This window comes from Homo sapiens, chromosome 15 (genome assembly GCF_000001405.40).
Source record: "Homo sapiens chromosome 15, GRCh38.p14 Primary Assembly".
NCBI classification, from domain to species: domain Eukaryota; kingdom Metazoa; phylum Chordata; class Mammalia; order Primates; family Hominidae; genus Homo; species Homo sapiens.
This window is the reverse complement of record NC_000015.10, coordinates 57,294,167-57,308,049: the sequence shown is the minus strand read 5'-3', so window position 1 is coordinate 57,308,049 and position 13,883 is coordinate 57,294,167. Positions and strand designations below refer to the sequence as shown.

At 48.9% G+C, this 13,883-nt stretch overlaps 1 long non-coding RNA gene across 1 annotated transcript, besides 5 other annotated features; it reads right to left on the bottom strand.

Annotated features, from left to right (window-relative positions):
- Positions 1 to 280: 280 nt before the first annotated feature.
- On the bottom strand, positions 281 to 7,685 carry LINC00926 (long intergenic non-protein coding RNA 926). Its single transcript, NR_024433.1, has 3 exons — positions 7,126 to 7,685; positions 982 to 2,731; positions 281 to 486 (listed from the first exon to the last, which is right to left on the bottom strand). It is a non-coding gene; the product is annotated as a long intergenic non-protein coding RNA 926 (long non-coding RNA).
- Positions 1,178 to 1,381: a silencer, noted in NCBI's record as "fragment chr15:57598867-57599070 (GRCh37/hg19 assembly coordinates)". NCBI's record gives its function as "represses an EF-1alpha promoter that drives an FKBP-Casp9 reporter gene in an ReSE screen in K562 erythroleukemia cells {active_cell/tissue: K562}" and the evidence as "EXISTENCE:reporter gene assay evidence [ECO:0000049][PMID:32094911]".
- Positions 1,178 to 1,528: a biological region, named in NCBI's record as "ReSE screen-validated silencer GRCh37_chr15:57598867-57599070".
- Positions 1,309 to 1,528: an enhancer, noted in NCBI's record as "active region_9461". NCBI's record gives its function as "activates an Ori minimal core promoter by ATAC-STARR-seq in GM12878 lymphoblastoid cells {active_cell/tissue: GM12878}" and the evidence as "EXISTENCE:reporter gene assay evidence [ECO:0000049][PMID:35858748]".
- Positions 9,024 to 9,143: an enhancer, noted in NCBI's record as "active region_9460". NCBI's record gives its function as "activates an Ori minimal core promoter by ATAC-STARR-seq in GM12878 lymphoblastoid cells {active_cell/tissue: GM12878}" and the evidence as "EXISTENCE:reporter gene assay evidence [ECO:0000049][PMID:35858748]".
- Positions 9,626 to 9,675: an enhancer, noted in NCBI's record as "active region_9459". NCBI's record gives its function as "activates an Ori minimal core promoter by ATAC-STARR-seq in GM12878 lymphoblastoid cells {active_cell/tissue: GM12878}" and the evidence as "EXISTENCE:reporter gene assay evidence [ECO:0000049][PMID:35858748]".

Genomic DNA, 13,883 nt, shown 5'->3' with positions numbered 1-13,883 from the left:
TACTGGGGAAGGCAGGGGTGGGGCGGTGCCAAACAAAGCCTTGGGGGCAGATCTCGGACTGGGAAGGAGACCAGCCCGGAAGGCGAATAAGGGATTGCAGGGAGATAAATCAACCTATCAGGGAGGGCAGGGTGAACAGAGGGCCGTGTCCCCTGCCCCAAACCCCCTGATATATGGCCCCTCCATTCCAGAGGGGCCAAATCTATAACTGCTAAGAACATGAAAGAACAGCCAAAAGTACACAAGACCCATTTCGTAAGACATGAAACACAAGCCACAGTTCTGTTTGTTCTCTGACAATGTAAACATCATACATTTTTATTAAGAGAGAAAATAAAAAGCAAAGAATCCACTTGAAGCTCTCTAGGGAGCATCCCGTCACCGCCATGTGCAAGAAATCTGGTCTTCACCCGCATTTTAGCTGTGTTGCCCAGCATGATGTCCCGTCCAGGGCCACACTGGGATGTTCGTGGGCCCCAGGCATTTCTGCCTTCATGAACTCCTTTCTCTATCAATAGAATATTTAAAGTTATATTTTATGGCTGTTGGATAAAGACAAATAAGTTATTGCTGTGTACTAAAACATTTTCTTCAGCCTAAAGGTTAATGTCTTCCTTCTGATTTTAAAGACACAGAACGACTTCCATGGACGCCCAGGGCACTGTGGGCCTGGCACGGTGCCGCCTGGCCAGCCCCATAGGGATCCCGCCCTGGTCACGGTGTGGGGGGCCCTGGAGCCAGGGCAGAAGGCACACAGGTCTGGAGGGAAGGGGTGGCCTGGGCCCCCAGCTAGCTGAGAATGGGTTCCAGCTCTTGGGAGCCGGTGAACCAGACTTGGTTCTTAGTAGGTGGGGCAGGGAGCAGGGCACACAAGGCCGAGATCCAGGCACTGATGCTACCTGGTCCCTAGAGAAGGGAAGGACTGAAGGGAGTGCGCGGCGGGGCCTGCAGCCAAGGGACATCCACACCGCCGCTCCTGACCTTCTCCTTGGGGTCCTTGGCTCTTCCTTGATGAGGGGCACGACGGTCCCAGAGCTTGGGGCCGGGCTCAAAGATGGGGTCAAGCGGCCGTAGCGGGTGCGGCGCGGCGCGCTCCCGGAAAAAGGCAGGGGCAGGGGCGCGGGGCTGGGCAGTGCCGGCTCTTTTCTGATGGATCATCTGCCCCTCGGTTCGCTGTCCCCGGGCTGAGAACCCAGAGTCCCAGATAGCACCTCTGCCCGGTCACAGCCGCTTCCGACAGCAGGGGGCGCCCCGGCGCTGGAGGTGAGAGGCCGAGGACCGGGGCGCGGGATCACAAAGGCAGCTGGGCCCAGAAAGAGCCCCGGGAAGAAGTCCAGTTGGAAAAATAAATCAAATATTAAAAATAATGCATCGTCCCCTCGCCCGCACCCCACCTCTGAAAAGCCCATTCCCGTCTGGGGCTCTGCCTCCTCGGGCTGTGCGCGTCCTCCCAGAAGGGCCAAGATACCAGCTCCCCCGACCCCGGCTAGGAGCACACACGTGACGGGCAGGAAGCACTGCGGCGAAAGCCCGAGCTGCCCTCCTCTCTGAAGGCTGGGAGTCCGGAGGGTCCCCCCGGGCCACTTGGCTTCGTCTGAAAATAAACACGGGGAAAGGGAAGCAGAGACACACCCTCCAGAGACAGCCTGGGGGGCTGCCTCTGAAGACTGCGCGCGGCTGGTCCCGCCCCCACGCCAGGAGCCCACTCGGTGGTCTTATTTGTAATGAAAACAAACGTGGCCCTTTCAGCAGCTGAGGACAAACATGAGATGAGCATAGTCAGGGACAGATGTTTGGGAGAAACAAAAGGAGGGTAAGTAGGAAGCGCAGGGCAAAGGCAGGCAGAGCGAGTATTGCAGCAGCCTTTGCTGCGTGCTGGGAAGTTTCTAACAATGCAGGGCTCTTGGAAAGCACTGAGATTGCAGCACTTGTTTTGATAGCGAGGCAAGGAGTCACAAAGTCAGGCAAGGAGGGTCATGGAAAGCGGGGTGACAGAGGGAGAAGTCCGGGGCGGTGGCTCTCCTCTAAAGCCTGTACCTAGTCCTCATCTCTCTCCAGCCTCTTTACAATGTTCATCCATGGAAAGTGAAGCCCAGAGAAGTTAAGTAACTTGCTTAAGGTCACACAGCAAGTTGACAAAAACAAACATACACAAAAAAAATAAATCACGGCCAGGCACGGTGGCTCACGCCTGTAATCCCAACATTTTGGAAGGCTGAGGCAGGAAGATCAACTGAGGTCAGGAGGTGGACACCAGCATGGCCAACATGGCAAAACCCCGTCTCTACTAAAAATACAAAAATTAGCCAGCGTGGTGGTGCATGCCTGTAATCCTAGCTACTCGAGAGGCTGAGGCAGGAGAATCGCTTGAACCTGGGAGGCAGAGTTTGCAGTGAGCCGAGATCGTGCCATTGTAGTCCAGCCTGGGCGACAGAGTGAGTGAGACTTCGTCTCAAAAAAATAGAAAAAATACATATAAAATAAAAATAAATCAGGAATGCAAGATCCAAGTAACTGGACTCCCAGTCCAGTGTTCTTGGTCGAGTTGCTCTTTGAGCTGTTCAATCAACCAATAATTACTGGGAGCCAACTATGTGTTAGGCCTTACTCTGACCCCGATCTTCAAAGTGGTTTCTCAGGTGTTTGGTTCTTCCCATCTTCTACCAAAATCCAATCCATACACCATATCTCAGCTGAGCTCCTCTGGTTCTTCTCTAGACCTGCTCCCTCTCTGAAATGCAAGGCCGTGCCTTTAATGGGCTTTTGGCATTCTGTCTCCAGACCTCCCTTCTCATCTGAAGGGCTCTCAGGAGAACAGAGAAAAAACCAGCCTGTCTCCAAACTGGCCCGTCTCAGGGACTGGGGGCCTTTACCCCCAGTGAAAGATGCAGACTTTACAGCGCTGCAGTACAGTAGAGTTAAGTGACTCCTTCAGATAGTTGGATGGGTCTCTCGATCATTCCTGATAATAACATTTTGCCTATGTTAAGTGCTTTCCACCTATCATGTTACCTTCTAACTACTCCCTTGGTTGGATACAGGTATTAGCCCCATTTCACAATTAAGAAATTGAGGCTTAAAAGGATTAAAGAGTTTTTTAGAGGAGAAACAGCTCTTCCTTACAGAAGGATCCCAAGTAATAAATGTGAATGCTCCCTCTCCAGAAGGTGGCACTTAATTCCCCTGTCCTGGAGTTTGACCTCGCTTAGTGACTGGCTTCTGATGAATAAAATGGGGAAAAGGAAAAATAGTAACTCCACAGTGGAGACAGCTGGCAGGCACCACCTGAACCAAGAGATCAAGGTTAACATCAGCAGCGATAAGTCCCATTGGTACCATGTACCTCTCGAATAATGTGATGAGAAGGACATTTCACCTCTGTGTGGCACCCAGAAGCATAACCCCAGTCTCATGGCAAAACACCAGACACACCCAAATTGAGGGACATTCTACAGAATCCCTCCCTGTACTCTAATGTCAGAAGTCAGGCTGGGCGTGGTGGCCTGCGCCTGTAATCCTAGCACTTTGGGAGGCCGAGGCAGGCAGATCACCTGAAGTCAGGAGTTTGAGACCAGCCTGGCTAACATGGTGAAACCCCATCTCTACTAAAAATACAAATTAGCCAGGCGTGGTGGTGTGCGCCTGTAATCCCAGCTGCTTGGGAGGCTGAGGCAGGAGAATCATTTGAACCCGGGAGGTGGAGATTGTAGTGAGCCAGGATGGGGCCACTGCACTCCAGCCTAGGCAACAGAGTGAGACTCAGTCTCACACAATAAATAAATAAATAAATGTCAAAAGTCATGAGAAAATGAGGAAAGATTGAGAAATGATCACAGACTGGACACATCCAAAAATGCAACCTGGTATCCTGCATTGGATCCCGGAAATTGGAAAGGACGAGAGTGTAAAGAACGGTGAAATCTAAAAAAAGTCTGTAGGTTAGTTAACAGTAACATACCAATGTAAATTTCTTAGTTTTAATGAGTGAATCATACTCACCTTCAGAGGGGAACTTGCCTCCTCTAGACCCCAGTGTTGGCAGGAAGGGCACAGAGCTCCCTGGGACAGCACCCCTTTTTCCAGGGAATCAACCAGCCATGGTTTTTGCTGAGCACCCCTACAGTCTCTCTGGGCAAGGTGTAGTGATACATACTAGGCAGGAGATGGGAAGAATTTGGCGTCGAAAGATTCTCCCATCTCATCTACAGCCTTTTTCGTCACTATTGAAAATGATTTTAAACTTCGAAAAATAAATCTAATTTATTTAGTTAGTATAAATAATCTAATGTATTTAGTTAGTCCAAATAATGAAATCCTTATTCAATGATTGAGGAAACTTTATGGCCCCAATCCACATCCACCTCTACCAACTAAAAAGTGTGGTTTCTGCTTCTCAGTAGCAATGAGGTCTAAGCCAGCATTTCATCCGAGCTTAGGTTCCTAACCTGCGTTTGGCGTGGGAAGAATTCAGTGGCAGGTTAGAATGCCAGGAGACGGGAGAGCCACAGGCAGGGGTAGAGAGGGGACAGTCAGGACTGGGACACCGCAGCAAGTTCCCTGAGAAGGGAATGAACCTTCCTCCTCATTGCTCCAGAAAGGAACATGGAGGAGCCTGGAAAGGTGGGACTTCTGGCTCCGGGGTAAGCGGGATCAGATATTAGACAATCTTACTTTGATTGGATTATTTTCCCATTCCTAAACCAATCGCTGCAGCTGTGGGGATGAGGCACTGCATAGCTTAGATGTGGAGGGTGTATTCTGGGGCCAAGGAGCAGGATCAGAACACACAAACCATGAAGACAGAGGTGGGTCCTGGAGGGATTGCTGCCAGAAGTTGGGTGGATAGATACGGGGCAGGCACAAAGCAACCACAGGAGACAAACTGCCAAGATGAACCTGTCTCGTTGGGTCCAAATACCTGCTCTTCCTGGATCCATGCATGCACCAACGCTAGGACAATCAGAGGGACAATTCGTTGTGCAATGTAAACAGACAAAGAGTCTTTTCGCATAGTGACACCCAGAGGATGTGCTTACAGGAGGCTCAGCTTGGTTGTGTACAGGGTCTCATTGTCTTTCAGATGCTCCCTCTGCAGGATCTGAGGGCCCCTTCCCTGTGCCCATCCAGAATAATTGGCAAATCCCTGGTCTGGCAAGAAAAGGTAGGACTCAGCAGAGGAAAAGGAGTTGGAGAAAAGAGGGTGCCATGAAGGAGGGGTGGGGGATGAGGCAGCCATCCATGGAAGCAGCCCTGCAAGCTACGTGCCAAGGACACCAGGCATTGTGGAACAGGGTATAGGGCCGACTCAACACACTCACCACCGCCCTGCCCCAGGCAACCTGTATGGGCCGAAAGAGATGACTTAAACTAGGAGTAAAGTACCAAACTGTACATTCTTTTTACAGCCAGCCCTCTGTATTCATGGATCATAATATTCAGATAAAAAAATGAATGATAGCATTTGTACTGAAGTTGTACAGCCTTTTTTTCTTGTCATTATTCCCTAAGCAATACAGCGTAGCAACTACTTACATAGCATTTACATTGCATTAGGTATTATAAGTAATCTAGTGATGATTTAAAGTATATGGGAAGATGTGTGTAGGTTATGTGCAAATACCATACCATTTTATATCAAGGACTTGAGCATCCATGGGTTTTGGTGTTCACAGGGCTGGGGGTGGCAGTGTCTGGGATCAATCTGCCATGAATAGCAAGGGACAGCTGTACTCCGTGTGTGCTTGGCTGGCTAACACAGGAATATAATTTAGCAAAGAACTCTCTTCTCCACCAGAGAAGACTCACACCCATGAAGAATGAAGATTGAAGATTTGAAGATTTTTCTTGTAGTATAGTAACTTTGTGTTAACCTATTTCCCATCTCCCATTACACTGTGATTTCCTTGGGGTAGCCTGTTATCAGCCAATGCCATGTGGGGCAGAAGAACTGCCCATCTGAGCCCTGCCTGAATTCCTGAACCATAAAATCATATTAAAAATGATTTGTAATTGAATAATTGATTGAATGAGGGAATGGACATTAAACTGAGGATTACCTGGAAAATCTGATTTATTATCTGATTTCTACCAATGGGACCCAGGGTCAATGGCTGGAGGAAGCTTTTAACATCCTACCAATTCAAAGGGACTCCTGTCTTGGTGAGAGCCTCCAAATGGGTTGATTGAGAATTCAGTGCAACTTAGCAAGTATAAGAATCCACGTACAGTGGAGGGGTCCCTGCTCTAAAACTCCCACCACATTGGGCCCGCAGTCCCCCAGACCAATATTTGTGATTGCAAAACCACTGCTCCTATTATTAGCATGACTGGCTCTGTCACCACAGTCAGGTCCTCCCTGACTTGGGCCCTCTCTGGGTTAACTTCTCCCTCCTTAGGTCCCAGCATCCTGTGTCCTCACCCTGGAGAGCATATGCTACAATACCTTAAAATTTCTCACCACCTTCTTGGCCTCTACTGCTGGTCTGAGTGGTGGCCATCTTCAGATCTCCTTTGGCACCCAGTACCCCACATGTTTTAGGGATGAGGGAGAAGAAGCAGGGGGTGCCAGAGCTCAGCTTCAGCTCTTCCTGGCAGGGAACTGGAGCTCGAGACTGAAATGTATTTTGTTACTTTATTTATTCAGAGATGGAGTCTCGCTCTCTCACCCAGGCTGGAGTGCAATGGCGCAATCTTGGCTCACTGCAACCTCTGCCTCTGAGGCTCAAGCGATTCTCCTCCCTCACCCTCCTGAGTAGGTGGGATTACAGGGGCCTGCCACCATGCCCAGCTACAATTTTTTTTTTTGTTTTATTTTCTAGGGGAGATGGGGTTTCACCACGTTGGCCAGGCTGGTTTCAAACTCGTGACCTCAAGTAATCCGCCTGCCTTAGCCGCCCAAAGTGCTGGGATTGCAGGCATGAGCAGCCGAGTCTGGCCTATTTTGTTACTTTAACTTATTATGAAAGTTTCCTAATGCACATGAAAGTAGGTGAGAATCAAAATTAAACTTTCATGTATCTTCGTCTAGTTTCACTAATTATCAACATTCTGACATTCTCACTTTGTCTACCATGTACTTTTGGCTAGAATATTTAAAAAATAAATGACCAGTATCATATGACTTACCCGTAAACACTTCAAAATATGAGCTTGAGATGTAGAATCACTGATTTTGGGGTTAAATGAACCTCAAAAGTCCTCCTGTGTTCAAATGGGCCTGGGCTTGGAAGCTCTGCAGTGGGTGCCCGGCTCTTGGAGACCCCGGCCACAGCGGGAGGGGGATACAACGTGGATGCTGGAATCAGCTCTCTGCCTGGATCCTGGGAAAACGCCCCCTGGAGTGATTGGCTTAGTTCTTCTTGGGCCCATCACAGTTCATCCAAGTAATCCACTTGCTTCCTGTTCTCCAACTCCTCTGTCACGTGCAGCCATTTCATCTTCACACCACACCCTTGTGATTTAGGGAGTATCATCTCCATCACGCCTGTAATCCCAGCACTTTGGAAGGCCAAGGAGGGCAGATCACGAGGTCAGGAGTTTGAGACCAGCCTGACCAACATGGTGAAACCTCGTCCCTACTAAAAATACAAAAATTAGCTGGGAGTGGTGGCGGGCGCCTGTAATCCCAGCTACTCAGGAGGCTGAGGCAGGAGAATTGCTTGAACCCAGGAGGCGGAGGTTGCAATGAGCCGAGATCACGCCACTGCACTCCAGCCTGGGTGACAGAGCGAGACTCTGTCTCAAAAAAAAAAAAAAAAATTTCCCCCACCCCTTATTATTTGCATATTACAAGCAAACCAGTTTATGCTCGGAGAGGCTAAGTGACTTGCCCAGGGTTACCCAGGTAGTGGAGGGAGAAGCAGAATTCCCACCCAGCTCTGCTGAACTCCGATGCCCTAGCTTGCCTGGTGGCACCCACAACCGGCCCTCAGTGTCCACTTCTGAGTTTAGCCTGGGCAAGAGACTGGTCCATAAACGACTTCCTGCCCAGTGGTAAACAGTGGAAGGCAGGCTCCTGTGTTTCTCGTGGTTGGTGGTAATCGCTGCTTTTGCAAAGTGGCTTTTGGGGAGGAGAGGTTTTAGGAAGTGTGTTAAATGAGGGGGGAAGTGTTACTTGGGGGTTTCCCAGCACTCAACACGCACACTGCAGGGGCTGCCCTCCCCCGCAGCACACTGGGAGAGCCTGTCCTCCAGCGCTGCCCACGCCCGGCCGTGGGTCTCATTCCCCACTGGATCTCCTGTCTTTGATGTCAAATATACCCAATTCATCTCTTTCATATCACTACAAAGGAGCCTCCTAATTACTCTGTTTAGACAGCCTCTTCTCCAAATATTAAACATTTGGTCTTCCCAGGCCCCCCAAGCATTTAATATCATCAAGGTTGTTGCGAAATCCACTTTTCCCCCAACTGGTGGGCAGATTCCTTTCTCTCTCCATTCCCAGCCTCCCTGGGCAGATCTGGACAAGTCACCCCACATATTCTTTTCCCAAGCAGGCTGCCCTTGGGACACAGCCCTTTTCTTCTGGTGAGAGGGTCGGAGCAGTGGGGTGGACCTTGAGCGTTTTCTTGAATCTCAGCCCTGTTGGGAAGCCCTGGAGAAGCCTTGGGGAGACCCAAGGACTCAGGGGTGACCTGTCATGCCTGACGCAGGTATGTGGGGCATCTCCACCTTTGGTGGTGGCAGGCCCAGCACCAAGTCCAGAACGTTTGCTGGCTGGTGGGGAAACAGAGACTTCCTGGTTCCAGATCAGAAACTGCCTTGAGTAGCTGCATCTCTCCAGACACCAGATGCTCGGTACCTGAGGCTCCCATAGCCTCTCCTCCTTCAAAAGAAAGAAAGAAAAAAAAAAGCACTCTAATCCTGGAACCCGTCCCCATCCCGAACCTCCACGGCCTTGCCACCGCTTCCTTAGGTAGAGAAGTCGGCTCACATTTCTTCCTACTCAACAGCTGCTAGTGTTCGCCCTTCTAATGCCTCCCTCCTGGTCCCATGGGCCTTTGCCAGCTGATGTCATGGCACAGTGCTATGTCATAGGTCTGTGCTATGCTCCCTGTTCTGCTCTCTCTTCATGGTGTGGCTGGTCCCCAGAAGGACTCTGTGGCTTGGGACTGCTCCCCAGACATCCCTCCTGTCTCCTCATGGGCCTTGTTGCTCTGGCTGAGCAGAAAACAGCCTCCCCATTCCCCCGGCCCCACACCAACGCGGGGGTCAAGGAAGGTTTCCAAAGGGACATTTGAGCAGAATCTTTTCCTTCTCTCCTTCCCTTTCTCCTTTCCCTGCCTTCCCATCTCCCTTCCTTCTTTCTTTCAACTTTTTATTACGAAAAACTTCATTTTCAAAAGTAAAGTGTATAATGAACCCCCATTTACCTATCTCACCCAGCATCAATGCTGATAGACCGGGCCAATCTTGTTTCCTCAAAACCCCCTAACCCCACTACCCACCCTCCAACAATGGATGGTATTGAAGCGGATTCCAGACAGCGATTGTATCATTCTCTCTGTAAACACTTCAGTGTGTATCTCTAACAGACAAGGACTTTTAGAGAAACATAACCACAGTATCACATCTAAAAATATAAACAGTAGTCCAGTCAGTGTTCGAATTGTTTCATAACTGCACTTTTTAAAGTGGCTTGTTTGGATCAGGATGCTGAGCAGACAGACTTGAAGGGATTGAAGGGTGACACATTTTGGTGTGGGTGTGGGCTGGTGGTGGTGATGGGGAAGCACATTCTCACAATTCTTGGACACTTGATTGGCCTACTGCAGACAGCAGGGATTCCCTTTTTTTTTTTTTTTTTAGACGGAGTCTTGCTCTGTTGCCCAGGCTGGAGTGCAGCGGCATGATCTCAGCTCACTGCAACCTCCGCCTCCTGGGTTCAAGCGATTCTCCTGCCTCAGCCTCCTGAGTAGCTGGGATTACAGGCAGGCACCACCATGCCTGGCTAATTTTTGTATTTTTAGTAGAGACAGGGTTTCATCATGTTGATCAGGCTGGTCTCGAACTCCTGACCTTGTGATCCGCCTGCCTTGGGCTCCCGAAGTGCTGGGATTACAGGCGTGAGCCACTGGCCAGGACTCCCAATTTTTATTAACCTCTACTGAACTCATTTTCACAAATCATTGCTCAGTTGTTTCCCTGGCCAATTGAGACTCAGGGGTATGTCACTTCCTCCAGGCAGCCTTCCCTGCATCCTGGCCCCCAGTCAGCCCGGGCAGGTGTTCTTGTTCTATAACTGAGTTCACTGTCTTTCCCAGGTGACACTGTTTGTAGCTCCCTATAATAAGTCTTCCTCAGGGGCAGCATGTGCGAGACACAGTCGGGTCTATTAGACATGTGCTACTGAATAAAGAGGAGGTCAGCCCTCATCCATTTCTGATTTGCTGCCCTGTGGGTTTGCTTTCTTTAGGTGGGTTAGGAAGTGCCTCCTATGTGCCATGCATCTCTGAATTCTTCAGTTAATTCTCACAACCGTCATGTAAGCTGATACGATCATTAATTATCCCCATTTCACTGAAGAGAAACCGAAGCTCAGCATGGGTAAGTTGATTGGCCAAACCTCACAGTTGCCACATTGAAGGTCCCTCCTATCTCCTATTGCCCTACCCACCACCAGGGAAGAGCCATTTGAGCTGCTGGTCCTGGCTGGAACATTCTAGAAAATGCCCACAACAGAACATGATGGCTCCTGCCTCTCAGCTGCAGGAAGTGGTTCCTTTCACTATTTCTGCTCAAGTCTCAGGGCCACTACACCCTCCCCATCCAACCTTTCTTCCCCAGCCTATTGGAGCTGAACTCTCCCCTGCTTGCATCCTCAGCCTCTGGTGGCTAAGCAAGCCTAGAGCAGGTACTTCAAAGCCTCCTGCTTAATTGTGCCTTCCCTGCCCATCATTAGGCAGAGAGTAAAGCAAACAAATTAAATGCACATTTTCTTCTGAAACCCTTGCAGGATGGCACTGGCACCGTCCTCGGTGTTGTTTGTGCTGACGGGCTGGCTGCCCAGCTTTGGAATGGGCAGGAAGCACTCTGGTGCTGGGACATGCTTACCTGTTTCTTCCTCCTCCACCCCTGGACAGAAGGTCGGTGGTTCCTGGAGAAGAATAGTTCCTTTGTGTTTTCTTTCCTTTCTTCCTGTGCCTAATTAGGAATTATGCTTGGGAATCAAGCTAATTAATCTCTGCCAGTTCAGGGTGAGATCAAGCTGCTCGCACTATCAGTGTTGATCAATAACTCACTGCTGAAAGAATTTGAAAAACAACCCCGCTCCTTTCAGCACAGGCTTTAATGAGGAAGAGGTGGGATGGCCCCAGGGGGAGACCTGGAGCAGGTAGGCAGAGGATCGTCTGGTGAAGCTACTACCCATTGCCTTCTGCATGTGAGAGGGCCCCCCGCAGGCAGGGCTTTCTAACGCCCAGGCCCAAGCCAGGGGTGGGAGCTTCATTATTGTGCTGCCTTGTTGTGTAACCCAACTTGTCTTGAACTGCTGAGGTTGGTCACTGGGAATACTCATAAGATGGTGGAAAACATGGCCAATGGCTGGGTTGTATTTCAGGACAAGGTGACCCCTCTGGCTTACTGATCAGAGGCCAGCCAGAAGCCTGCTCCCAACACTAGGCTGCCACCTCAGCCCAGCGACGACCAAATATCCAGGAGAAAAGATGCAATCTTGCAGGAAATAGAGCTGCAGAAGGCCCGGAGAATGAGAGAAAGCAAAAAAGCCCATAGGGCTGCAAGGGACAGGGGAAGGAAGGACCTCACCCTGGGAGTAGGAAAAAGGTGGTCTGGTTAGAGTTTGTACAAAATTTGTGCTGTGTCTTGGGGTCCTCATGGCCTAGGCAGGTATCTTAGTGTGTATTCTGATGCTATGACAGAATACCTGAGACTGAGTAATTAAAAAAGAATAACAGAAATTTATTTCTTATAATTCTAGAGGCTGGAAAGTGCAAGACGGAGGGGCTGGCATCTGTTGAGGGCCCTTGTGCTACATCATCCGTGGTGGAAGGCGGCAGGGCAAAACAGCCTGGGAGGAGAGCCCTCATGACCTCTTATTAGGCAACCCCCCTCAACACTGTTGCATGGGGGATTACGTTTCCAACATATTCGAACTGTGGCAGAAGGTTAGATCTTCAGAGATATAGAGATGGCCCTTGCCTTTAGAGGGAAAGATGCAGTTGTTTTTCTTCCAAGGAGACTATCAAGAAGCCAGAGAACCAAAAACAGTGATAACTGAAAAAGAACTCTAGGACTGAAGGAACTTAGGATGGTTTTTAAAATTTTGGAAGTCCCAGCCTATGTTGTATCAAATAGATTTAAAAGTTTTTTTTTTGTTGTTGTTTTTTATTTTTTGAGACTGAGTCTCACTCTGTAGGCCAGGCTGGAGTGCAGTCTTGCTCTGTGGACCAGGTTCACTGCAACCTCTGCCTCTGGAGTCCAGGTGATTCTCATGTCTCAGCCTCCCAAGTAGCTGGCATTACAGGTGCACGCTGCTATACCCAGCTAATTTTTGTATTTTTTATTAGAGACAGGGTTTCACCAGGTTGGCCACGCTGGTCTCGAACTCCTGACCTCAAGTGATTCTTCTGCCTCAGCCTCCCAAAATGCTGGGGTGCTCGGCCTAAACGTTTTTTTAATTGACAAAAAATGTTGTATGTATTTATTGTGTACAACGTAGTGTTTTGAAATACGTATACATTGTGAATGGCTCAACTGAGCTAATTGACATATGCATTATCTCACATAATTTTTTTTGTGGTGAGAACACAAATACACTAACTATAGTCCCCATGTTGTACAACAGATCTCTTGAACTTATTTCTCCTGTCTCACTGAAATTTTGTGCCCTTTGACCAACATCTCCCCAGCTCCCTCACTGCCCCACCTCTCGCCACCCCCAGGCCCACCATTCTACTCTTTGCGTCTATGCATTCAATTTTTCTTTTTTCCCCCAAGACAGAGTTTCGCTCTGTCTCCCAGGCTGGAGTGCAGTGGTGTGATCTTGGCTCACTGCAACCTCCACCTCCTGGGTTCAAGCAATTCTCATGCCTTAGCCTCTTGAGTAGCTGGGATTACAGGTTTGTGCCACCACGCCTGGATAATTTCTGTATTTTTAGTAGAGATGGGGTTTCACCATGCTGGCCAGGCTGGTCTCAAACTCCTGACCTCGTGATCTGCCTGCCTTGGCCTCCTAAAGTGCTGAGATTACAGACGTGAGCCACCGCGCCTGGCCTCAATTTTTTTTTTTTTTTTTTTTTTTTTTACATTCCAGATATAAATGAGATCATGTAGTATTTGCCTGGGCTATTTCACTTAATATAATGTCCTCTGGGCTCATCCATGTTGTCATATATGACAGCATTTCCTTCTAAGGCTGAACAGTATTTAATTGTGTAAATGCTTTCTTTATCCATTTATTCACTGACGGACACTTAGGTTGATTCTGTATCTTGGCTATTGTGAATAATGCTGTAATGAACAAACACAGGAGTGCAGATTATTTCCTTAACATACTGATTTTATTTCCTTTGGATATATACCCAGTAGTGGGGTTGCTGGAGCATATGGTAGTTCTATTTCTATTTTTCTGAGCACCTCCGTAATGTTTTCTATAATGGCTGTTTTCTATAATGTACAATGTATGATTTTATAATGTTTTCTATAATAGTAATTTACATTCCCACCAACAGTGTGCAAGGGTACCCTCTTCTCCACTTCCTTGCCAACACCTTAACTTTTGTGCATTTTTTTTTTTTTTTTGAGACATGGTTTCACTTTGTCACCCAGGCTGGAGTGCAGTGGTGCAATCACAGCTCACTGCAGCCTCAAACTCCTGGGCTCAAGTGATCTTCCTGCCTCAGCCTCCCAAGTCACTGGGTCTACAG